The sequence below is a fragment of the Homo sapiens genome, chromosome 8 (genome assembly GCF_000001405.40).
Source record: "Homo sapiens chromosome 8, GRCh38.p14 Primary Assembly".
Taxonomy (NCBI): domain Eukaryota; kingdom Metazoa; phylum Chordata; class Mammalia; order Primates; family Hominidae; genus Homo; species Homo sapiens.
This window is the reverse complement of record NC_000008.11, coordinates 52967925-52995585: the sequence shown is the minus strand read 5'-3', so window position 1 is coordinate 52995585 and position 27661 is coordinate 52967925. Positions and strand designations below refer to the sequence as shown.

General features: G+C 41.5%; 1 pseudogene, besides 1 other annotated feature; it reads left to right on the top strand.

The window, feature by feature from the left end:
* Positions 1-19469: 19469 nt before the first annotated feature.
* Positions 19470-20556, top strand: LOC101060191 (E3 ubiquitin-protein ligase RING2-like; annotated as a pseudogene).
* Positions 24563-25064: an enhancer, noted in NCBI's record as "NANOG hESC enhancer chr8:53883082-53883583 (GRCh37/hg19 assembly coordinates)". NCBI's record gives its function as "activates a minimal SCP1, AML or CMV promoter by ChIP-STARR-seq in naive H9 embryonic stem cells {active_cell/tissue: H9 hESC(naive)}" and the evidence as "EXISTENCE:reporter gene assay evidence [ECO:0000049][PMID:30033119]".

Genomic DNA, 27661 nt, shown 5'->3' with positions numbered 1-27661 from the left:
CAACAGGGTACAATGGATTTTATAGACAGGCTTGAGGAGGCGGTGTCTGATTACATAGGGCCCACAGATTGGTTTGACCAACTGTGACATTTACATAGCTTATGGGGAAGGCTGGCCACCCCACCCTAATATTATGCAAATGGGCTTCCCACTTGGCCAGAGCCATGTTGTCTGCTCTTTACTGTACACGTGGCTGGCAAAGAGAGGGGAACATGGAGCCCCATTTGAACATGCCTAGTCCCAGGTAGCCTTTTCCTATTTACACAACTGCCGGCATTCACCCGTGGAAGCTTCCAGCTTGCTTGTCTATGGCTGCAGCTCAATTTTACAGGCTGCTTTTTGTTAGAAAAGAAAACAATTCTGGGGCTGCTTTTCATTAAAAGGAAAACCTTACCAAAGACTCCCATACCCTCAAGATCTGCCTAAATAATTTCTTCTTAACTCCTACATCAATAGGACATCGGTAGAAGAAATAACTAAGCAGTGTGTCCAGGATGCTGTGTGGCTTTTCTTAACTGCTTGCTGTGAAGTGTGAGAAGAGAGAAACAAGTTAAAGACAGAATTAGTATTCAAAAAGGAAGCAGAACATAAAGATTTGGAAAATTCTCAGCCTGGTCATGTAAAGAATAAAAATGTATGTTTAGGAGACAAACCTAAGGATGTGGCTAAGCATCCTTTGATAAGGAGATTAGTATGGCTAGAAAGAAGCCAGTTTCTATTCATCAGGTCAATGGGAGAATGACTAAGAAAGTCATTCATGCAGATTGCCACATAATTAAACTAACTCTGAAACTCTGAAATGGGCCAGTTTTTCAAAAAACAAACAAACAAACAGTAGCAGAAGAGGCCAGCGCCAGGTGCGGTGGCTCACGCCTGGAATCCCAGCACTTTGGGAGGTTGAGGTGGGTGAATCACCTGAGGTCAGGAGTTTGAGACCAGCCTGGCCAATATGGTGAAACCCTGTCTGTACTAAAAATACAAAAATTAGCCAGGCTTGGTGGCGGGAGCCTGTAATCCCAGCTACTTGGGAGGCTGAGGCATGAGAATCACTTGAACCGGGGAGGTGGAGGTTGCAGTGAGCAAAGATCAAGCAAGAGAACTCCAGCCTGGGTGACAGAGCTGAGACTGCATCAAAAAAAAAAAAAAAAAAAAAAAGCACAGGAGATTCACAGCAAGCAATCAGAAGGGGCCCAGTTTGCCTGAGTTGGCATGATAAGAAAAATCACTCTGTTTTAACCCTATAGGGAAAGTAACTGAAATGGCCAATCTGCTTTTCATTGTTTATATGTTTTCTTCAGTCCTTTCTGCCTATAAAGCCACCCACCTCTGCTTTAGCTCATCAGGAAACTTACTCTGTTTCATATAATAAGATACTGCTTGATTCTAGAATCAGAAAGAAAAGCCAATTAGAATCTTCAGACACTGTCTTTTGACGGTGATGATAAATTGCAAATATCATAGCCAAAAGTTATGAATAGGATAATTACAAAGTTCATATGTTAAACATATTTTTCCAAACACTTATCCAAATTATTTGACTCTTTCCTTATCATTACATTTCCATATCATATATATATATAGAGAGAGAGAGAGACAGAGTTTTGTTCTTGTTGCCCAGGCTGGAGTGCAATGGCACGATCTCTGCTCACTGCAACCTCCACCTCCCGGGTTCAAGCGATTCTCCTGCCTCAGCCTCTCAAGTAGCTGGGATTACAGGCATGCGCCACCACACCTGGCTAATTTTTATATTTTTAGTAGAGACGGGGTTTCTCCATGTTGGTCAGACTGGTCTCGAACTCCCGACCTCAGGTGATCTGCCCGCCTCAGCCTCCCAAAGTGCTGGGATTACAGGAGTGAGCCACCGCACCCAGCCTCCATGTCATATTTTAAGATTAAAAAGAAGCTGAGATTTTATTGCCATTGAAAAGGATCATGGTTTGAAATCAGAGTGGGACAAAGAAAAATATTCTTTACTTGGTTTCAGGAGATTTGGGTTAGAGGCTTTGTTCCACTAGAGGCAAATTCTCTTTGGGCTAATCTTGTAACTTCTCTCACTCTCAATCCCCTCCCTCTTGAGGCAGAGATCATAGTATCTGTCTTCTGTAGCTCACAGGACTGACTTGTAGATCCAGTGAGATAAATTGTTATTAGCATTTAGCTTGTAAAATTATTTTATATACCTTATTTCACTCGATTTATTTGCCTTTAGTGAAACAAAGGCTCTAACAAAATCTTCTCAAACCAAATAAGGAGGTTTTTTTTGTCCCACTCTGATTTCAAAGCATGATCCTTTTCAGTGGCAATAAAATCTCAGCTTCTTTACAATCTTAAAATCTGGGATGGAAAGGTAATGACAATGAAAGAAAGTTCAATAATGTGGATAACTATTTGGAAAAAAATGTTTAATATATGAACCATGTAACTTTTCTAATCATAATTTTTTACTGTAATATTTACAAGCTTTTCATAACAGATATGCTGCCCTAATTATCTGTTTCAAAAAAACAAACATATACTCTGTCATGATAAAACTATTTTTAAGAAATTATTTAGACCAAGCCAAATTTAACTCTTTATTAGCATGAAGTCAATAGACCATACTGTTCTAGTTATTTCTGTACAAATAACCCAAATTAAGGCAACTCCTTAACCATATGATTAATTGCTTGTATTCAGCTGTTTCATAGTAGAAAAGACCCAATTTAACATTATACTTGTTCTTTGATGCACACAATAAGTTTAAACATTTTAAACTATGATAGTTTAGGGAAATATATAGGAAGCCATAAAAGGAAGGGGAGGGGATTTCTAAGGATATTAGGGTGTTCTTTTTGGAAGGAATTTAATACACCAAGTTGTCCCAAATAGATCTATGTTTATTCTGTATAATCTCTTTACCAGAATGGTCATTCCTCTGTGACGTACAGCTATTATAGGAGATGTGGAAATAAATACAGACCAAACAAATGAGAAAAGCAAAGGCTATTTATCCTGAGCTTACTGTAGCAAGGAATTCAGCCACTTGTATCACTTGCTTTAGCAGAGACTCAAATTTAGGCAGAAAGTTGGAGAAGCTGTATAGTGGAGGAAAGGAAAGCTTCAGGTGTGCCCTTAGTGGAGGTATTGGCCTGAGAGAGCTGGAGGCAGCTGACTAGAAGGGTCATCCTATGTGATTGGGTAGGGGAGAATATTTGGCTTTCTCTGGGTGGTCATAAGTTAGAATTAGACACAGTAATTGGGAAAACTGTCAGTTATTCATCAAGTTCTTGCCATTTGGGACTGATGGTTACAGAGACTATTGTTTGGCATCCTGGATTGTTACCAGAAACAGTCATCTGACTTACATAAATCTGACATAATAGCAGGCTGGCTTCCTGGGCTGATTGCTACAGATTATAGGCCAGACTTCTATTTTTGTTGCTGAAACACCAGGGGCTTAGTCTAGGTCCTGCTGCTCACCACACAGAAAGCCAATCACTGAGACAATGAGTATTGCCAAGGAAGAAGGATTTAATCGGGTGCTACAGCCAAGAGATAGGAGATCAGTATCAAATTCGTCACCCTGACTGACTAAAATTAGGTGTTTATATAGCAGGGAAGAAATGTAACAATGTATAAGAAAACAGGAACTAGGTAGGGTTAAAGAAGCAATCACAATAAATGAGGGACCTGGCATCTCATTGTCTGGATGTGATGATCTGGTGAGTTTCTGTTCTTTGATACTTTTTGAGAGGCCTGGGAGGTCATTTCTTGAGGAAGGAACTCTGATAAAAAAATGTAAGTTTCAAGCTGTAAGATCAAAATGGTCAATTTCTATGTTTATAAAAAAAATCTATGGGACAATTGGGTTGGTTTCATTTTTACATATGGTTTGGCCATTGCCTGTATATTCAGAATCTTGGTGAGTTGAAAAACCACTTTTATTTATATTCTTGGTCAATAAAACTGTTTTGGCTAAATTCACTTCTCCTTTCAGTAGCTCTGTGCTAATGACCCTCAATTCTACATCACCATTCAAGAACTTTCCCCCAACTCCAGACTCGTGGTCAACTGCCTGCCACATATGTCCGCTCAGGATCTCAGTTAGAATAAATTCAATGTGGAGCTGCTAAGATTCCCACCCAACGCAGCTCCCTCTGCAGTTTTCCCTGAACAATTAATCTTGAAGTCATTCTTGGCTTTTCTTTCTCTTACACTTCATCTGGAGTTTATCAGCAAATGCTGTGAGCTCATCTTCAATACACACCAGGGATCTGGACACTTCTCGCACCCTACCCCCATGCCACCACCCTGGTTCAAACACCATAACATGTGCCCTGGATCATTTTTAAAGCTTCCAAACTGGTCTCTTTTTTTTTATGTTTACCTCCTGCATCTCTTCTCAACTTACTGTCAGAGGTATCTAGTTAAAACCTACCTCAGACCTCATCATCCTTCTGCTCAAAACCCTCCAGAAGTTCCTTCTTTCAGCAGAGGTGAAAGCCAAAGCACTTACTCTATCCCACAAACTCTACATGATCTGCCTTCTCAGCTCTCTGCTCCAGTCAAACGCATTTTCTTATTATTCCTCAATACTCCAAGCACACTCTTGCCTGAGGACCTTGCACTTCCTGTTTCCTCTTTCTTGAAGCCTCTATCCCAGACATCTGCACTTTTCCTTCTTCACTTCCTTCCAGTCTGTCACAGTAAGGACCTGCCCAGGACACCTTATGTGAAATTTCGTCATGCTGTCTCATCATTTTGTATCCCCATTTTTATCTTTATTTTTTCTCCTAACCACTCATTGCTCTCAACAGGCTATATATTTTATACCTTTTGTTTCTGTTCTATCCCCCCATGGTGTATAAGTTCCATGAGCACAGGACATTTTACTTGTTTTATTCACTTCTGAGTCCCCAAAAGCAAAAACAATGCCCAGCCTACAAAAGGCACTCAATAAATATCTGTTAAATAATTCAATAAGACAGTCTCAACATTCTAAAAACTTAAGAATATCACAATGGGTATTGCAGTTTAGAATGTACAAAGCACTCTCCCAGAACTTCTCTCATAAGGTGGATATCACTTCCATTTTACCAATGAAGAAACTGATTTCAGCAACTTAAGAGATGTGCCCTAATCTCATGGCTGGGAAGTGGCAGAATCTGGGTGTCCAATGCCCATGCCCAAAGCTTTTTCTACCAGCCTTGACATGTTTTTCCAAAGATCATGCTTGCTTCCCTGTTCGTATCTGCTTTGTTTCCATAGAGCTTCTCACCGACACTGTTGACAACAATGGCCTCTTGACAGGTCCTCTGCTTCCAGTCTGTCTCTTCTCCAGTCCATCCTTTACACTGACTCCAGAATTAGTTCCTTAATCACAAAATGTAGTTATGCCACTCCCCTGTTTGAAAGTCTTTACTGAAATTCTCACTTCTGCTCTTCTTGGCATTCAAAGCCTGCTAAAGTCCAGACACAGATGCCTTTCCAGCCTATTTCAACCTACGCTCCCAGATGGCCCGCCAGCCGGACCTGTCTGTCACAACTCCATGACGAAGCCTTGAACTTCTGTGCCTCCTTGCATTTCTTTAGTCCTTTTGTCTGAAGTCACTGTTCCTCATCTCCCACCCACCAGGGCCCTTCTTGGAAGCTTTCTGTAAGTCCTTCCTCAGAATTAGCATTTGGCCCTGTTTGGGCATATCTCTTCTTATTCTTGGTAGGGCGGCTCATTGTGTTTATCCTCCAATAGATGTCTATGTCCTGAGCACAGAGATCATCTCTCAATCCTCTCTCTCACCTGCCACCCCACATTGCACCTAAAGTGTACTCCATAAGTATTCTTTTAATTAACATGAATATTTCATAATAGGAAAAGCAGATTCACATGTTTTCTCATTACAGGCATGAAGAGCCTGGGCAAACCAGGGAAATCAAGTTTAAGGCCCATAATCGACCTGGAATTCTCCTCTAAGCACATGGTCTATGCTTTTTCCCTTTTATTTAAAATGATGACAGGCCGGGCATGGTGGCTCACGCCTGTAACCCCAGCACTTTGGGAGGCTGATGCAGGTGGATCACTTGAGGTCAGGAGTTCAAGACCAGCCTGGCCAACATGGTGAAACTCTGTCTCTACTAAAAATACAAAATTAGCCAGGCGTGGTGGTGGGTGCCTATAATCCCAGCTACTTGAGAGGCTGAGGCAGAAGAATCACTTGAATCCGGGAAATGGAGGTTGCAGTGATCGGAGATTGTACCATTGCACTCTAGCCTGGGTAACAGAGTGAGACTCTGTTTCAAAAAAAAAAAAAAAAAAAAGAGTACAATGTATACCCTCCTCCAGTCTGCCTTGTTGTTGGCCTGTGAAGATGGTAGGTTATTGGGTAATGCAAGATTCTCAGTGGAAAGAATGGATTGCAACTGAGAGAGGGCCATTTCCTTCCTAAGGCTTTTCAGTCCCTGCTCTCCTTTCTCCCTAAGATAACAAAGGGCAGCGCCTGGCCCAGTGCCTGCATGAGAGGAAGGACTCCATTACAGCAACCCCCTGGGCCTTTCTACTCACTCTGGCTGCTTCTTACGTTTCTTTCTTTAGAAATATTTTTCTCCTTATTCTGGAAGGTAAAACTCAACATAATTAGCCAGATGTATATTAAAGAAAAAATGTTGACCTTATTTTCCACATTTAATAAAAGCTAAGGTCTTACGTGTTCATTATGAACAATAATAGCCTTGTGTCTATACAAGAAAAAAAGCTGAAACCATAACGTACCTACACTTTGATGTTTTAATCATGCATTTCTGTGCCAACCAATTCCAAGTTTTGGCAGACTGTGAGATATTTTTCTTTCACTTAATTTTTTCATAACAAGCCATAGGAGACGAACTACTCACAAAGTGGAAGATTCAAATGTATACCCAGTGCTGTCAGCCAAGTATATGTGAGACTGCTTACCTGATTAAGGGCTGGCTTTCTAGGTCCAGAGGTGAAACTAATACACAAGTTATTTTTGCTCTGAATGAGTGAGCCTTTGACAAATTCATGAAGCATGATTAAATGTTAATAAGCTTAATACCACCTCTTGGCTGGGCGCCGTGGCTCATGCCTGTAATCCCAGCACTTTAGGAGGCCAAGGCTGACAGATCACCTGAGGTCAGGAGTTCAAGACCAGCCTGACCAACATGGAGCCCGTCTCTAATAAAAATACAAAATTAGCCAGGCGTGGGGCGCATGCCTGTAATCCCAGCTACTCAGGAGGCTGGGGCAGGAGAACTGCTTGAACCTGGGAGGCGGAGGTTGTAGTGAGCCGAGATCACGCCATTGCACTCCAGCCTGGGCAACCATAGCAAAACTCTGACTCAAATAATAATAATAAGAAGAAGAAGAAACCTCTTGTCCTATTCCTGGAGGGTTACAGTAAAGGGTTCCTTACCATTTCCCCATTCCAGATACATGGACACAGGTGGCAGGGAAAGGAAGTGGAGGTCCTGAAAGATTGTGGGTCTCCAAAGAAGCCCAGCCTCCATCACTGGCCCAGAGGAAGGGCACTCCAGTGACCGACTGCAACAGAAGGGGCCTGCTACACTACTCTGCCTTAGGTGCGGCCACTGAGCCCTGTCCTCTCCATCTCTGAGGCCAAGCACATGACCCTCTCCAGGGTTAGGGTTGAGCTGCCTAGACATAAACACCTCACCAACTGTTTATGAATACACAACTAAAACCCAATCACACTTATTTTCCAACATTTCAAATCCAGGTGCTTAAATTCAAACTACGTGTTATAATAAAGTTGCACCAGCTGGCTTTATATTTAAGGCTTTGGCCTGGGATAATTTAAGGAACATTTTGATGATGAAAGAATAAGCCTTGTTAGCAGAGAGAACTCATTCTGAAAGTCCATGTGCTTCAGGAGGGACTGTCCTGGGCTCCTAACAACACGGAGGGCTCTGAGCAGTCAGACATGATGGGGTGAGGCTCCACGGAGCCTGCGGCCTTCGCTCCACTGCCTGCCTACAGCGGAGATGAAGGGCTGGAAGAGGAAGGTGAAAAGGGGGAAAGGAGGGATGATGAAAGGAGGAAGGGAAGGAAGGAGAGATTTCAGTGAATTAAACTTTCATCTTCTCCTAATAACCACACAGGCAAATAGCTATCTATATAATATAGAGACATACCAACAGAAAAAATTTCTAAAGCAGAATGAACTGAAAATGACCTCTACAAAACAGAGCCCACAGTGGGTAGACCATCACTAGTAAAGCATTTCCAGCTTCCATGCAGCACATATTCCCAAAGTTGCTTTTTATCTAGGTTGTTTGGAACTTGAGGTGAATTTCCCCTACAGAAACAATGCTGTAAATGGGACTTGCTATAAAAGGGCATAAATCGTTTTTTAAAAGTAAACAAATAAAATTTTATGAGTAAAATGAAGATGTTAATCATTATGAAGGACAAAAAGATCTGAGCAAGTCATGAGATATGTTATGCTCTTGACTAGGAAGGTAATTTAAACTATTTAATCAGTGATATTTCCATCAAAATTCTGCAGAACTTGACAGATTCTAAAATTTTATTTAAAAAATAAAGTCCTAAGAATAGTTAAGTTATTGGAAAGAAAACAAGCAAACAAAAAACTATCCTGCTTGACATCAAGAAAAATTAAAAAAAAAAAAAAAAAAGGTAGGAAACTTGCCAGGTGTGGTGGCTCACGCCTATAAACCTAACACTTTGGGAGGCCAAGGCATGTGGATCGCTTGAGCCCAGGAGTTTGAGGTCAGCCTGGGCAACATGGTGAAACCCTGTCTTTTAAAAAATACAAAAATTATTTAGGCATGGTGGTGCAGGACTGTAATCCCTGCTACTTGGGAGGCTGAGGTGGGAGGATTGCTTGAGCCCAGGAGGTTGAGGCTGCAACTCCAGCCTGGGTGACAGAGCAAGACGCTTGAAAAAAAAAGTAAAAGAAAAAGAAAAGAAGGAAAGAGAAGGAAAGCAAGAAAGGAAGGAAGGAAGGATGAAAAGACAGGAAACTAAGTAATAAAACACAGTATAGGCACAGGGACAAACAAAAAGATCAGCAAAATAATATAGACACTTCAGGATATCTACTGCTGATAGATAGACAGAGAAATAGAACAAAAAGAAGACTTAGAAAGATTCATTTAAACTTACATAAATGCTCCAGAGAGGAGGGAGGGGCATGGCTTTGGGAGTTACAAAGACAATTTTGAGTTTATGGTGAATTTTCATTTTTCTCTTTAAAAAGTTAAGAACTATTACAAAATAAGAATGTTTCTTAATTTTCTATGTTGCATAAATTGGTGTTTTTTTATGATAGACTTTACAGAATTTAAAAATTACTTCCCAAAAAAAGCTATCATCTCAGCAGTGAAAGCAGGACCACGTCAGATGCCTTTCACTTAGTTTTAATAGCCTCAGAAAAGGGGAAGTCAGGCTTCCTTCTTGACGCAGCATGAGTGAAAGGAAGCAGTCAAACATCAGAAAAGTTAAGCACAAAGAAATAAAAAATATACAATGCTCAGATAAACCCTGGATATATTAGTAAGATGGCTGGATGGGAGGAATGACAAACTAGGGGAAAAAAGTCCCTCCATGAAGATGATAAACTGCAATCCTTGTAACTTAGACTATTTTGATGTCAAGCAGACAAATGGCCTTTGTTGAGTGGGGCTGCTGTGGGATTTTTTTTAACTGCCTTTAGATCAAAAGGTCTGACAGCTCCCACAGCCTGAATGATCCCTGCCATGCTGAGATCCAGGATGGATGCCTCAGCATGGCAGAGGCTTGATGGGCTCATTTGGAAGAGAAATATTTTGCCCTGATACAGAGAATGGATTGGCTGACCTTGCAGGGCATTTTCATTACCCTTTTCCCAAAACTTGAATGAACAGAATTCATGAGAACAATCATGCACTGTCACAAACTGTGAATGAATTCATGAAAAACCTCACTCAACCTCTGTTGCTTTCACTTAAATTATTTTAAATTTACTTTGTCACTGAAAGGCAATGTCGTTGAACTAAAAGTATTAATTTGAGCAACTGAAAGATTGTTCTAGTTTAAAGTGAATTTTAAGAACGTGTGCCATGAGACATTGCTTTAGGAAGCCATTAAAGTAGAAAATTATGAAATTTAGAATTTTAAGCACGTGAAAATTTCAGATGCCACAAGTCCTAACATTTATTTATGCTATATAAATGAAGAAAGTAGAACAAGAGTGTTTGCTGAGAGTTCCAGACTTAATTTTCCAGATTGAAAAGTTGACAGTGTGAAACTCAGATGGAAGAAAGAGATAGGGCATAGATACCATTACACAAGAGGTGGTGGTGGTTTTGACTGGGATGGTAGCAGTGGAGTGGCTGAGACATGACAAGCCTTGGATATATTTTGAAGTTAGAGATAATAGGCTTTGCCAACAAATTGGACATAGAACATGGGAGAAAAACCAAAGTCAACTGTGACACTAAAGTTTTTTAACTTGAGTGGCTGGAGAGATTAAGTTGCCATTTGCCAAGACGTGGAAGATTGAAAAAAGAGAAGGTCATATCAATTGATCATCTCTATTGATGCAGAAAAGGCATTTGGCAAAATCCCACAGCCATTCATCGTAAAAACCCTTAGGAAACTAAGAACAGAGGGAGCTTCCTCAACGCAGTAAAGAGTATCTACACCTGACTTCACACTTAATGGTAAGGGGAAAATGGCATCAAGGGAAGTTTTTAATAAATGTTGAAAGACATCCAACATTTCTGTATGCCAGTGTGAATAATCTGATACAGTGGGGAAAACATGTTGAAGCAGGAGAAAGAATCAGAAAACAGAAGCAGCATTTTTGAGTTGATGATGGGGGATAGGGTCTGGTAGACAAGTGAAGGGTTTGGCGTTAGCTAGGAAAGCAAATAGTTGATCCACACTCATCCCAGTAGCAGCCAAGTGTTAGAATACCATCGAGCTGGTAGAGACTCAGTGGTTGATTCCATTTTCTCAGTGGATTAGAGACCAAGGTCACCAGCTGAGAACAATAATGATGGAGATGGTGGTGGAGAGCAGGGAAGGGAAAATAATCATCTAGGAGAGTGGGAAAGTGATGAATACTGGAAAAGAGAGCGGGATTGCCAGGCAGCACTAAAGTTTACTTGGGGTTAGTGATTGTCAACTTAAAATAAAGCCAGTCAGCATTTTTCTCCAACCTCAGTCAATTGTCTGCAGAGGAGGAAAAGGAGGCAAGGTAGTTGAGAGTATAGGCAAAGGAGTAATTACCATCACACAACACGACATCTAAATGGGGTGACACAGAAAGTGAGAACATGAATGACTATAGGAGATTGAAAGGACTGTAAACCCCAGTGAGGTCAAAGAAGTGTTGGGAGCTCAGACATGAAGGAAGTTGATTTAGATGGGTAGGAAGCATTGGTCAAAGAGTGGCATTCTTAAAATTGACATTATGGAGAGGAAACAAGATATTTCTAAAGACAGATGTAGAATATAACTAGAGTTATAAGCAGCAGAGATTATGTGAGGGACAAGGTTGTTGGGAACAGGCCCCCAAATCTGGCCATAAACTGGTGCCAAAACTGTCCATAAACAAAATTTCTGCAGCACTGTGACATGCTCATGATGGCCTTGACACCCATGCTGGAAGGTTGTCAGTTTACCAGAATGAGGGCAAGGAACACCTGGCCCATCCAGGGTGGAAAACTGCTTAAGGTGTTCTGAAACCACAAATAATAGCATGAGCGATCTGTGCCTTAAGGACATGTTCATGCTGCAGATAACTAGCCAGAGCCCATCCCTTTATTTCAGCCCATCCCTTTATTTCCCATAAGGAATACTTTCAGTAAATCTTATGACTGGCTTGCTGTCAATAAATATGTAGGTAAATCTGTGTTTGGGGCTCTCAGCTCTGAAGGCCATGAGAACCCTAATTTCCCACTCCATACTATATTTCTGTGTGTGTGTGTGTCTTTAATTCATCTAGCGCCACTGGGTTAGGGTCTCCATGACCGAGCTGGTCTCGGCAAGTGGCGTCCATACGTGGGGGCTCGAACCCAGGTCAAAGGGTCGCCAGAGCAACCGTTGGAGATCACAGAACTAAACTGGAGGACAGCCCAGTACTCTTAAAGCAATCCCCATGGTAAGTAAGAAGGGGATCTTGGAAGCATCAGGGTAACAATGGGACAAGTGTGGGCTTTGGTTCATTCCACCTTGGAAACTTTTCACACTAATGATGCAGAGGAAGGAGAGTATAACAAAGTAACAGAAGAAGTATCAGAGCAGGTTTGTTTGCCAGCTAAAGCTAAAACAGCAAAGGAGGAAGAGGTTCATCCCTACCCTTCTGCAACCCTTCCGGATTTTGAAGATAAAGAGTGGCCTGACCCTCCAGAATTCCTTTTCCAGAGGACACTGGGCAAAAAGTAGTTGCCCAGTGACTGTTCGAGCAGCACCTCGAATGACCGCTCTCAGTTCTATTCAGGCAGGAATCCCACAAGCTAGAAGAGAGGGTGATTTAGAGGCTTGGCAGTTCCCTGTTAGAATACACCCACCCAATTAACAGGGAAATATTGTAGCTACATTTGAGACTTTTCCTTTTAAATTCAGGAAATGCCATGAGGGGCCCATCCCAGGCCCCATTCCAAACCGGGGCATTTCTGGCTCAGGCCATTTCCTTACCCCTGTACAATGTCTGTCCCCTACCACAGCTGGCAGTGCTGCAATAGATTTATGCTGCACAAAAGCTGTGAGCCTTCTGCCTGGGAATACCCCACAAAAAGTTCCAACAGGAGTCTGTGGATCCTTGCCAGTGGGGACGATAGGATTACTTCTAGGAAGGTCTAGTTTAAATTTAAGTACAAACAGTAATCATTGATTCACATTACAATGGGGAAATTCAAATTGTTATATCTACTTCTGTTCCCTGGAAAGCAGAGCCAGGACAGCGCATAGCACAGCTCCTGATAGTGCTGTATGTGGAAATGGGGAAAAGTGAAATTAAACGAGCAGGAGGATTTGGAAGCACAAATAAACAAGGCAAAGCAGCTTATTGGGTAAATCAAATTACTGATAAACATCCTACCTGTGAAATAACTATTCAGGGTAAGAAAGTTAAAGGTTTGGTAGACACAGGAGCAGACATTTCATTCATTTCTCTACAGCACTGGCCATCTGTGTGGCCAATTTAACCCACTCAATTTAACATAGTTGGAGTTGGTAAAGGCCCTGAAGTATATCAAAGTAGTTATATTTTGCATTGTGAAGGCCCCGATGGACAACCTGGGACTATTCAACCAATTATAACTTCTGTACCTATAAATTTATGAGGGAGAGATTTATTACAACAATGGGGAGCACAAGTTCTAATTGCTGAACAATTATACAGCCCTCAAAGTCAACATATGATGCATGAAATGCGGTATGTCCCTGGTATGGGACTAGGAAAAAATTTGCAGGGTTTAAAGGAACCGCTTCAAGCAGAAAGACAAAGTTCTCATCAAGGTTTAGGATATCATTTTTGATGGTGGCCATTGTTGAGCCTCCAGAACCTATACCTTTAAAATGGTTAACATATAAGCCAATTTGGATAGAACAATGGCCGCTGAGCAAAGAGAAAAATGGAGGCTTTAGAGGACTTGGTTACTGAACAATTCTTGATAATCATTTTCCTAAAATGAAACTGTTTCAATTTTTGAAATTAACTAATTGGATCCTCCCTAGAATAACTAAATTTAAACCAATTGAAGGTGCTGAAAATATTTTTACAGATGGGTCTAGTAATGGTAAAACTTCTTATTCTGGATTAAAAAGTAAAGTTTTCCAGACACCCTATAATTCAGCTCAAAAAATGGAGCTTGTAGCTGTAATTGAGGTATTGACTGCTTTTAATATGCCTGTTAATGTGATTTCTGATTCTTCATATGTGATTCATTCCACACAGTTAATTGAAAATGCTCAGTTACTATTTCATACAGATGAACAACTGATGACTTTATTTACCCAATTGCAAACAGCAGTTAGGAGTAGAATGCACCCTTTCTACATCACTCACATTAGGGCTCATACACCTCCTCCAGGACATTTGACTGAAGGGAATCAAGTGGCTGATCACCTAGTTGCTAATGTGATATCTAATGCTAGACACTTTCACAATTTAACCCATGTTAATGCCTGTGGTCTCAAACACAGATACAGCATTACTTGGAAAGAAGCTAAAGCTATTATCCAGTGATGCCCAACTTGCCAAATGGTACCTTCCTCATCTTTTACAGGAGTTAATCTTCGAGGATTGGAACCTAATTCTCTTTGGCAAATGGATGTCACACATGTTCCCTCGTTTGGGAGTCTAGCTTACATACATGTATGTGTGGACACCTTTTCTCACTTTGTCTGGGCTACATGCCAATCAGGAGAGTCTTCTGCCTGTGTTAAACGTCACCTTTTGCAGTGTTTTGTGGTGATTGGCATTCCAGCTTCTATTAAAACAGATAATGCCCCAGGCCATACTAGCCAAGCTCTAGCTACGTTTTTCTCTATATGGAATATTAAACACATTACTGGTATCCCATATAATTCTCAAGGACAAGCCATAGTGGAAAGAATGAATCTCTCCATGAAACAGAAGTTGCAAAAGCAGAGGCGGGAAAACAGGGACTATGGAACACTGCATATGCAATGGAATCTAGCATTATTAACCTTAAATTTTTTGAGCCTGCCTGCCTAAAGGCCAGATGCTAACAGCATCTACAGAAACCAGCTGCAAAGACAGAAGCAGAACAACTGGTTTGGTGGAGAGATCCAATAACAAAAAGTTGGGAAATAGGTAAAATAATAATTTGGGGTAGAGGTTATGCTTGTGTTTCTCCAGGCCAAAATCAACAGCCAATTTGGATACCATTGAGACACCTGAAACCTTACCATGAAACAGATGCTGAGGAAGAGATTCCAGGAGGATCCCGAGCTCCCCCCAGTTGCAGCCATGTGGAGAATGACTCTGAGGAGGACCCCAACTGTCACAAGCAACACCCGTTGAACACAGCCATCCACCTGGGGACAGATCAAGAAGCTGTCACAGATGGCAGAAGAAAACCTGAGGAAAGCAGGACAACCAGTCACAATGAGTAATTTAATGGTAGCTATGATAGCAGCGATCACCATTGCCTCTGCAGATGCAGATCCTGACTCCTGCAAGAAGTAGCTCATAGTGACAAAGCTGCCTTTGCTCTTATCGCTTTGCAAAACAAAGAAGGGGAACATGTTGGGAACAGGCTCCAAAATCTGGCCACAAACTGGTCCCAAAACTGGCCATAAACAAAATCTCTGCAGCAGTGTGACATGTTTGTGATGGCCTTGACACCCATGCTGGAAGGTTGTCGGTTTACTGGAATGAGGGCAAGGAACACCTGGCCTACCCAGGGCAGAAAACCGCTTAAGGCATTCTTAAACCACAAACAATAGCATGAGTGATCTGTGCTTTAAGGACATGTTCATACTGCAGATAACTAGCCAGAGCCCATCCCTTTATTTTGGCCAGTCCCTTTATTTCCCATAAGGAATACTTTTAGGAAATCTTATGACTGGCTTGCTGTCAGTAAATACGTGGGTAAATCCCTGTTCAAGGTCCTCAGCTCTGAAGGCTGTGAGACCCCTGATTTCCCACCCCACACTCTATATTTCTGTGTGTGTGTCTTTAATTTCTCTACTGCTGCTGGGTTAGGGTCTCCATGACTGAGCTGGTCTTGGCACAAGGTCAATGTAGAAGAGGCAGACAAGGAAAAAAGAAGCCAAATATTGGAAGGATTATCTGTGTGGATACTAAAGATCTAGAATTATAACAGGAGTGTTGGACAGAGTGGCAGGGCAGGTGCCAACATCTTCCATTAACGTGGAGAGCAGGACAGGGCCTGGAGACGACTGCGCTAAGGAGGGCTAGTGAGTAATATAGACTAATGGCATGAGCTGCAAAGCCAGGGCATTTTCAGAAGGAGGAAGAGACACTAGTCTGGATGTGGCAGTGAGCAAGGTGAGCAGGTACTCTACCCCCAGGCCTAGCGTTACAGAGCTTAATGAAATGAAAATAGATGCCAACTGATAGAGCTACAAGGGAGGCAGTATTCTCGGATAAGATCATGATTTTGGTCAGAGCAAGAAGGAAGAGGATCAGAGGAGGTCCCTAAGGAATTTACCAGTGATGCACCATGAGCTCCAGAGGCTGCAAGAGAGGATTTTCAGTAGTTCAGGAAGGATAGGAGACAGGGAAAAGAGTTCAAGTCTTTTTTTTTGTTTTTCACTAATGATGTAGTTTATATCCTTCCATACTACCAGATAAAAACACATACATTCTCTAGGCACAGAGCTTGTATTCATAAATAACTCTCTGCTTAAAGACAAAATTTCAATTAATATTCACAACGGGAATCTATTTAACTGATTTAACACAACTATGAATCTAAAACGTCATCAATAAAACCTAAGAAGTTTTATCACAAAACCAGGGACATGCATTAGTAATCTATACAACTTACATTACATCAGAAAAGGAATTGAATATTTCCCTTTATTTTTATACAAAAATTAGCTGGGCATGGTGGCACATGCCTGTAATCCTAGCTACTCAGCAGAGTGAGGCATGAGAACCATTTGAACCCAGGAGGCAGAGGTTGCAGTAAGCCAAGATTGCACCACTGCACTCCAGCCTGGGCAACAGAATCAGACTTTTTCTCAAAAAAAAAAAAAAAAAAAGTTCCCTTCATTTTTAGTGGTTTTCAAATTTCACAGCACAGATTAAAAACAAAACAAAACAAAAAATAAACCCTGTAGAAACAGATTTTAAATACATTTAGAACACCAAGCCAGCCCCAATCTGTTGAAACTGATGGATAAATATGTACAATAACTAGACAGACTTTAGTTATAATGGTACTGGAGGTCTATCTATCAAAAATCCTTTGGGATTAATTTCTCAATGAAAACATATGTTTGTAAATAGTGCGATAATATAAACTTGGAAACATACCTAGAGTCAGGAGAGAGATGAAAAATAACACACAAGCCAATCTTGTTTCTAACCTGTCAGCATAAAGCCTTCTGGATCCCAAACACCCAACATTGTCCCTCAGTATACAAATTAAAAGTAGAATGACTTTACCCTACTAGCTGACATTCTTCTACAGAATAATCTTTCATTACATATCAAAACAGGGCTCAAGTTTCATTCATCTGCTTCCACAAGGTGTAATTAGCAGAGCGCACCAAATTTATAAGCTGATGTGGCAACTCAAAATGCTAAACACACTTTTCTAATGGAAACAAACTGGATTTTTTTCTGTTGTTCATTCTATGTACCATATTATTATCATTATTATTATTATTTTTTTTTTTTTGAGATGGAGTCTCCCTCTGTTGCCAGTCTGGAGATCAGTAGCACCATCCCCAGCTCACTGCAACCTCCACCTCCTGGGTTCAACTGATTCTCCCGCCTCAGCTGTGTCCTGAGTAGCTGGGACTACAGGCACCCGCCACCACTCCCGGATTTTTTTTTTTTGTCTTTTTAGTAGAGATGGGGTTTCACCATGTTGGCCAGGCTGGTCTCAAACTACTGAGCTCTGGTGATCCACCAGCCTCAGCCTCCCAAAGTGCTGGCAGGCATGAGCTACTGTGCCTGGCCGCCATATTATTCTTGAAACTTATGTGGCTACCAATAAAAAAAAAAAATAGGGAAGCTTTAAACATAACTTTTTTTTTTTTTTTTTGAGATGGTGTCTTGTTCTGTTGCCCAGGCTGAAGTGCAGTGGCACGATCTTGGATCACTGCAAGCTCCGCCTCCTGGGTTCACGCCATTCTCCTGCCTCAGCCTCTGGAGTAGCTGGGACTACAGGCGTCCACCACCTCCCCCAGCTAATTTTTTATATATTTAGTAGACACAGGGTTTCACCATGTTAGCCAGGATGATCTCGATCTCCTGACCTCGTGATCTGCCTGCCTTAGCCTCCCAAAGTGCTGGGATTACAGGCGTGAGCCACCGTGCCCAGCCACTTTAAACGTATCTTATACTTTTCATCAAGGCTAATGTGTCAAATGTCTCCATATATCTGGTATTTTAATAGGAAAAAAATCAAACATATATAATAAATAACCTGAAGTGACAGTAGAACTAATACCAAAAAAGCACTTTTTTTTTCTTTTTTTTCTTTTTGAGATGGAATCTCGCTCTGTACCCAGGCTGGAGTGCTGTGGTGTGATCTTGGCTCACTGTAACCTCTGCCTCCCAGGTTCAAGAGGTTCTCCTGCCTCAGCCTCCCAAGTAGCTGGGATTACAGGTGTGTGCCACCACACCCAGCTAATTTTTTTTTTTTTTAGTAGAGACGGGGTTTCACCCTGTTGGCCAGGCTGGTCTCAAACTCCTGACCTCAGGTGATCCACCCACCTTGGCCTTCCAAAGTGCTGAGATTACAGGCGTGAGCCACCCCGCCTGGCCAAAAGCACTCTCAAATATACACTTGAAGACTACATTTCACAACCAATTTAATTTTTCTTTCTTCAGCAAAATGCGTCAATGAACCAATTTCTCATAGATTAACATTAAGATTTTGTTTGATTCTCTTTCCAGGACCAGAAATTCCAAAATTACAAGGGAAAAGAATGGAAAAAAAAATAATAACATTGCATTACAATGGACACTAACTCAATAAACACTTGTTTCTAAAATAAGAAAATTATGGAAGAAAATACTATGGAAAGAATAATCCTATGAAAATTGTCTTTAAGCATAGTAAATTTGACCCTTAGTCTTCATGAAGATACTGCAGTTTATATAGAAAAGAAAATATACAAGACTCTAGGGAAAAAAGTCAGAATACGTATTATATAACATTCTGTAGGCCTAAAGACCTTTTGAGGGGGAAAGGGGAAAGGATGGCCAATTAAATCTTTACTTAAGAGTACAGAACTATGAAAAATTTCTGGGCCAGAAGTATACTTCAAATAGAACCAAACTTTGTGGAAAAGAACTTATATATATATATATATTTTTTTTGTTTTAATTAATTAATTAATTTTTTTCTGAAACGGAGTCTCCCTCTGTTGCCCAGGCTGGAGTGCAGTGGCACTATCTTGACTCACTGCAACCTCCACCTCTCAGGTTCAAGAGATTCTCATGCCTCACCTCCCAAGTAGCTGGAATTACATGTGCATGTCACCAGGACAGACTAATTTTTGTATTTTCAATAGATACGGGGTTTCACCATGTTGTTCAGGCTAGTCTCGAACTCCTAACCTCAAGTGATCTGCCTGCCTCGGCCTCCCAAAGTACTAGGATTACAGGCATGAGCCACTGCACCTGGCCAAACTTAGCCATATTTTTAAGAGAAAAGAAAAGGTACTGAAAACGGAGTCCTTTCCAAAAAGAAAATCATAAATTAAGGGGAAAATATTTGAATAGTGTAAACCAGTCTAGGTCAAAAAGAAAATTGGGCTGGGGGCAGGAGCTGTAATGTCTCAGGCTGTGCAAACAAATGGATCTCAACCATTAACCAAAACATGAGTGTTCAGTTTATATGAATGAAAACAAACACCTGAAGAGGCAGTAACAGATGGCTTAGAAATTGTGGCTTCACCTCAAAGTCTACAGAGTGAAATAAGGTCTAATTTGTTTGGATGTGTTGAAAGACACCATGACCATAAAGGAGTGTTTACATCATTTTTGTGCAGTCTGCATCATCACAGTCCTTAGAAATGACAGCAAAAAACACCCTACCTGTCAAAAAAAAAATCTAGTTTCCAAAAGATCACTAAAGGGATCCTTCAGCTCTTGGTGGTGTCAGCAGTGGGCTCAATGTTAGGGATGCCAGAAAATGCCACAGGGTGGGAAAGGAAAAAAAGAGCTAGGGCTAACAAAAATGAGGTGGGGTGGTAGGCAAAGAATTGGGAAGGGCCTTGTAAGCCTTATACTTTAGTCTAAAATGTTTGATGCACTCATCAGCAAAATTTACCCACGTCGTGATGAGTATGAAGCTCTTGGAGAGAGAGTATTAGCCAGCATCCACAAGCACAGTAATCAGTGAGCACTCAGTCTCAGCTTTGAAGAAGGACTGAAAGCACCAGTCAGGAGCAGATTATAGTGAGGCAAGAAACAATAGACTGAAAATGGTAGCAGAGAAGAAGAGAAGAATGCTGACGGTTTGCACTGTCGTGATGCATCCACACAGAACAACAAGGAAACAGGCCATAGTCACAAATGGAACAAAACATCTGCTGATTCTGGGCTTGAGCTTGATATTGACAATGCAACATTTGCCATTGATTCAGAAATGGACGGTGGTAGTGAGATTGAATTAGTATTCAGGCCTCAACCTACATTTATGGAAAAGGATGATAGTGCACAGATAAGATACATAAAGACTTCAGGTAACGCTGCTGTTGATCACTTATCCAGCTATCTGACTGTGAGGTTAGCTTTAGAAGAACTTTGAAGCCAAGGTGCACAAAACCAGATGAACCACGGCCAGAGCAAAACTCAAGTATCAGACACCATGGCCGCTGGCATCACCAGACTATATGGCCAAGAGTTCAAGTCTTGAGTGATGATCTAGGAGTCTGGGGATTCTTTGGGCAACTGGCAGAAAGACAAACAAGGGGTCATGTACTACAATGTACGATTTTCTCCTAGGCAGATTGAAGTGCTGACATCATCGGTATTAGGAGAAAGGGTGGCAGGAGAAAGGAGCTGCCAAGATCACACAGCTCTCTGGCCCTTTACTCTTGCCTGTGGCAGCTGGCCATCAGGGGACACATGCAGTTGCCAGGATCATGGGGGCTGGGAGACCATTTCTTAATTTGCTGACATCAATATGTAGGCCGGAGGAATGACACATCCCATACATCTTAAAAAGTCAACTCTAGATGGGATATCTGAGGGTTTTATAGAATTCTAACCAAAATCCTGCTTTCTAGGTTTCTCCACTCTCCTTACTGTAGATAACACATTTGGTAAAGAACAAATCATGAAGCCTTTCAGCTCTTGGCTATAGGAGCAACAGGCTAAATATTAGGGATGCCAGATAAGGCCATCAGGTGGGAAAGGGAAAGAAGAGGGAGTGCCGAAAAAATGAGGTGGGGGAGAAAGGCAAAGAATTGGAAAGGCCTTGTAAGCCTTATACTTCAGTCTAAAAATGATGGGAATCCACTGAAAGGTTATAGGCCGGGGAAAAGTAGGACCATTCACTTTTCAAAAAAGTGACATCACTTTGGAATGTTGCATCTGTTGTCATCAGGCTGTAAACTGAAATTGTCTAGCTCGTGTTACATTTATGAATTACAAATTGAATGACATGAGGCCAATTTTATAAAATTTCCCTTAGCCCTAGAGTGTCATAATAATATGGATAATACAGTCTATTTCTGAAGTGTTAGAGAATGTATCAGTCAGGGTTCTCCAGAGAAACAAAACCAGTAGGACATACATAGACATAAAAGAGGGGATTTATGATGAGAATTGGCTCATGAAATTATGGAAGCTGAGAAGCCCCATGATTGGCAAATCAAGCTGGAGACCCAGGGGAGCCAGGGGTGTCATTCAGTCTGAGTCTGAAGGCCTGAACACCAAAGCAGCTGAGAGTGTGACTCCCAGTTTAAGGCTGAAGGCCTGAGAACACAAAGGGCCAACAGTGTTAAGTCCCAGAGTCCAAAGTCCCAAGAACCTGGAGCTCTGACGTACAAGTGCAGAAGGTGGATGACTCAGCTCTAAAAAAGAGACCTTTCTGTTCTACTTGGGCCCTCAACAGATTGGATGGTACCCATCCCACACTGGTGATGGCAGGTCCTCTTTCCTCAGCCCACCCAGTTGAATGCCAGTCTCTTCCAGAAACACCCTCACAGACACACCCAGAAAGAATGCTTTACCAGCTATCTGGGTGTGCCTTAACCCAGTCAAACTGACATAAAATTAACTACCACAGAGAAGTAAAGGTGTAATTCATATCAAAGGTCTCCTGCATACTTGACATCTGGCTAATATTGACACTTAGCCAATAAATACTAATATTTTCCACAAGACACTTTTTATATGCATGTTAGAATTAGGATTTTGTTATTTGGTATGGGAAAACATTTGTAGTGTTTTCTAAGAAAATATATAATATGCAGAATTCCAGAAAATAGCCCTTTGATGGTAAACAGAGCATTCTGTACTTTATTTCTTAGGATAGATATTTGCCTCTTGAAATAAAAATGGTGTTTCCGATAAGTGGTGAGTTCTCAGAAAGTTTCATCTTTTCGAAATACAAAAAAAGAAAATCCTCTTATTTATTCTTCAAGCTAGTAAATATAGTGAAGAGACAGTAAAATGAAGCAGAACTCATTATTCCACTTCCCTATAAGTTTTTTGAAGGCATTCAAATAACACTGAGCCAAAGAGATGCTTTTTCTAGCTCTTCATCTTGTTTTTGAATTTAAAATTTAAAAATTAACACAGAAAGCATGAGCAACAAAAGAAAAAACAGACTGGACTTTATCAAACTTAAAAACTTTGGTGTGTTAAAAGACATTGTCAAGAAAGTGAAACGACAACCTACAGAATGAGAGAAAGTACTTGCAAATCATGTCTAATAAGGGTCTAGAAGCCAGAATACATTTTTTTAAAAACTCTAAAAACAATTTTAAAAAGACAAGCCAATTAAAAAAGGGATAAAGGACTTCAACAGACATTTCTCCAGAGAAGATATACAAACGGCCAAAAAGCACATGGAAGGATGCTCAACACTATTAGTCACTAAGGAAATGCAAATCAAAACCACTGTGTGATAACACTTGATACCCACTAGAAGGGCTACAATTAAAAAAAAAAAACCAATAATAGCAAGTCTGGTTAGGATGTGAATATAAAATGGTGTGGCCCCTTTGGAAAATAGTCTGGCAGTTCCTCAAAAGGTTAAACATTGAGTTAATCTATGACCCAATCACTTCCACTCAAGAGAAATGAGAAAAGCCCACACAGAATCTTGTACATGAATGTTCGTAGTAGCATTATTTGTAATAGCCAAATGTAGAAAATAAATGTCCATCAACCATGAATAGGTGAATGTAATGTTTTTCAACTGTAGAAAGCAGCAACTGTAGAAAGACATGCTGTAGAAAAACATGTAATGTTTTTCAGCTGTAGAAAGACATGCTACTGTGGGGACCCACTCAGCCCCCAGAGTTGGTATGAAGATTGTTTTAAACTGAAGGCATTTGAGATTCAACAGATGTAGAAAGCAGCTTTTTTGGAGCTTCCCTTATCCTACTAGAAGCAGAAACTTCTAGGAGTGAGGCTGCCACAAAAATCCCTCTCCAGGGAGTTTTACAGCCCAGAAAAAGATGAAGACCACTTGTACCTACCTAAACATAAGTCATCACAAATTTTCTTATCTTGTATTTGTTCCCCTAAAAATCGATTTGTCTTTCATAAGGAAACCATTGGATCTGCCCATAGAAGCCCCCTTTCCCCTCTCCTCTTCCCCTGTGAAAGATGCCGTATAAACCTCTATCTTTAGCAGTTCAGGAGCCACTTCTTTTGTGTTCTACATATGAATAAACGTTATCTTTTCTCCTGTTAATCTGTCCATTGTCAGCTAAATTAGCAGGCCCCAGCCACTGAACCTAAATTGGTAGGTGAAAAGGTCTTCCTGTCACACCACACTATGAATGAAGCTCGAAAACATTAGCTAAGTCAAAGCAATCAGCCACAGCAGGTCACATGTTGTGTGAATCTATTTATATGAAATATTCAGAACAGACAAATCTTTACAGACAGAAAGCAGATTGGTGGTTGCCAGTGGCTGGGGGAAAGAGGAACGGGGAGTGACTGCCTATGGGCACAGGGTTTATTTAGGAGTAATAAAAATGTCTGGAACTAGATAGAAGTGGTGGTGGCCAAACTTTTTGAATGTACTAAATGTCACTAAATTTTTCATTTTAAAACTGTTTATGTGAGTTTCACTTCAATTAAAAAAAATTAAAAATTTAACTGGGGCTCAACTTTGATGAACCTTGAATGACAAGATAAAGGCTTTAGATTTTATCCTATAAATAACCAGAAACATTTCATAAAATATTTCTTAAAAGCAAACCTAACATTTTAGGATAATAATTTCTAATGTATGTGTTTATCTGAGATCAAAGCACCCTGTTAGGAAGTAGAGCATTCAATCGACTTGTCTAAATGAAGCTCCCCACTTGCCAAGGCTAAGTTTTTTTATTTTTCCCCCACTTAATGAAATTGGCAAACATAGTGACTAGTTCTGTCTGCATTCAGTTGTGTATGATCACAGAGCCCCTTTCAGTCTTTAAACAAGAATCATTTTATGGGTACCTGAGATAGTAACAGGGTTTTGAAAACGCTAATCTATGATGACCTGAAGGTAGCACGAAGAAGTATGTACAATAAATGAGAAGAGTGAGATAAGAGAACAGCAGTGCTAGAGACAGAGAAAGTGAGTCAGGGGCAGCCAGGTGGTGGCCTGTGATGTCAGAAGACTGCTTGGCAGGAAGTGAGGCCTGAACAGGCGTTTGCCCCTTTCACGTGAAACAGAGGGATCAAGATCCTGTTTTCTTAAGACTCAGGCAACCTGAGACAACATTTCAGTGAAACTAAAGATGAAGGCAGACTTCTGAAACTCAGACAACAGAAAGCCCTGTATCTGTTAAGTTATACTGGATTTCTAAAATTGCTCTACATTTGTTCAGTTTACGCCTCAAAGGCAAGGGGAAAGAGAGCAAAGGCCACAGCTTTAAGGTCTCAGCACTTCATGGAAGCCCTGCCTCCAGCCACATGGGGCCACCTGCTGGGAATTGATGAGCTGCAGAGTAGGAAACCTGTTTTTTTTTTTACCTCAAATTCAGGTTTATAAGTCAAAAGCCACATCATGACACCTAATCATTTACTTCTCTATTTTGTTTCTTTTTTTTAATTTTCTTTAAATACGCAATTAATATAAAGCCCCATGGGATCTCAGTGATAAACTCTCATTTTCAAGATAAATGAAATGGCCAATATGGTCTGTAAACTAACAGATCAATAAATAAAACACCCAGCTTAGGACTACAAGGCGACTTCTTTATGACTGAGTAAACCATCTTTAGCAGCTATTAGAGAAGAAACACTGTCATAAATCTATTTCTTACTGCATTCTCATAACACCTCATGTGCACTTCATGCCAGTGAGAAGTGACAGCGTGCTGGCAGTCCTCACAGCCCTCGCTCGCTCTTGGTGCTTCCTCTGCCTGGGCTCCCAATTTGGCGGCACTTGAGGAGCCCTTCAGCCCACCGCTGCACTGTGGGAGCCCCTTTCTGGGCTGGTCAAGGCCAGAGCCAGCTCCCTCAGCTCTCAGGGAGGTGTGGAGGGAGAGGCGAGAGCAGGAACAGGGGCTGCACGTGTCACTTGCGGGCCAGCTGGAGTTCCAGGTGGGCGTGGGCTTGGCGGCCCCGCACTAGGAGCAGCTGGCCGGCCCTGCCGCCCCCGGGCAATGAGGGGCTTAGCACCCAGGCCAGCAGCTGCGGAGGGTGTACTGGGTCCCCCAGCAGTGCCAGCCCACCAGCGCTGCACTCGATTTCTCGCCGGGCCTTAGCTGCCTTCCCACGGGGCAGGGTTGGGCTCAGGACCTGCAGCCCGCCATGCCTGAGCCTCCGCTCCCCTCCACCTCCGCCGTGACCTCCTGTGCAGCCCAAGCCTCCCCAACAAGTGCTGCCCCCTGCTCCATGGTGCCCAGTCCCATCGACCACCCAATGGCTGAGGAGTGTGGGCACTCGGTGCCGGACTGGCAGGCAGCTCCACCTGCAGCCCCAGTGTGAGATCCACTGGGTGAAGCCAGCTGGGCTCCTGAGTCTGGTGGGAACTTGGAGAACCTTTATGTCTAGGTCAGGGATTGTAAATACACCAATCGGCACTCTGTATCTAGCTCAAGGTTTGTAAACACACCAGTCAGCGCCCTGTGTCTAGCTCAGGGTTTGTGAATGCACCAATAGACACTCTGTATCTAGCTACTCTGGTGGGGACTTGTAGAACCTTTGTGTCCACACTCTGGATCTAGCTAATCCGGTGGGGATGTGGAGAACCTTTGTGTCTAGCTCAGGGATTATAAACGCACCAATCAGCACCCTGTCAAAACAGACCACTCGGCTCTACCAATCAGCAGGATGTGGGTGGGGCCACATAAGAGAATAAAAGCAGGCTGCCCAGAGCCAGCAGTGGCAACCCGCTGGGGTCCCCTTCCACACTGTGGAAACTTTGTTCTTTCGCTCTTTGCAATAAATCTTGCTACTGCTCACTCTTTGGGTCCACACTGCCTTTATGAGCTGTAACACTCACCGCGAAGGTCTGCAGCTTCACTCCTGAGCCAGTGAGACCACGAACCCACCAGAAGGAAGAAACTCCAAGCACATCCAAACATCAAAAGAAACAAACCCCGGACACGCTGCCTTTAAGAACTGTAACACTCACCGCGAGGGTCCACGGCTTCATTCTTGAAGTCAGTGAGACCAAGAACCCACCAATTTCAAGACACAGTTGGACACACCAGGACGCCTCACCTGTAGTGAATGTGTTCATCTCCACCATTAGACCATGAGCTCTCTGAAAATAGGAACCTTTTCCTATATTTCTGCAGTACCAGTGGTCAGCACAGCACACAGACACAGAGGAAATGTTCAGTTAATGAATATGAACTCCATCTGTGGCTCATGAGGTCAGAGACTGCATGCCTTGCTCACTGTTGTGCCTTCAATACATAGTTCAGATGTAGCACATAGTAAGACTTCAAATATGTGTTTTTTGAGTGATTGAATGAATGAATAATAGGTTAATTATGGGATGCAGATACTCAGCTATTTTCATTTCTTAGAGCCCTCTTCCAGTATTAAAATATCCAAATAGAAGCTTTAAAAAAGAGCCATTTGGACATTTTGCCTGTACATTGCCAAACATCTTCATGGTGGATATATCTAGATGTGTAATACTATAAACCTGGGTGACTGCATATCATACTTCTTTAGATACTTCAACGTGGTTCAGTACAAGCATTTTCAACCATTTTCTCTGTAAGCACTACTTGTTAATTCTCCTTTATATGAAACTTAAAAAATTGGACTTCTAATCTAGCTCCTTTCTAGACAAGAGCTATTCTGCACTGGGTAAATCAGCATGCTGAGTGTACATGATTTTTCTGCTGTTCTTTCTTAGCTGAAATGCCCTCCTGCTCAGGGAAATGACCTGAAATTGCTGCTCATGATTTACCTCTCAGAACTTTGTGTCGTCAAGCGTGGCTGTGGCCTGGTTTCATGCCTCTAAAGTAAATTTCTTTTGGACAGAAATGTTCATATGCTGTACTAAACCATTACAAAAGCGATGTCCTTTTCGCTTTTTGGAAACAATAATAAAAGTAAGCAGGGAAAAGTGCAGTCTTTTAGTATTTAAAGCATGACTTTTTACATTGACATATATTTAAAACTTGCTTATCAGATATTTTAGCATCTATATTTTATTAACTGTCAGGCCAGTATAACTAAAAAAAGGAATGGTAGATATGCAAAATTCTAACACTGACTGGAGACACTGGCAAATCTGAAGTATCTTCAGAATCATAGAAAACATTATTATAGAATTCTATAGGTATTAGGCATATGCTGTTTTAGCCAAAGTCTAATTTTAA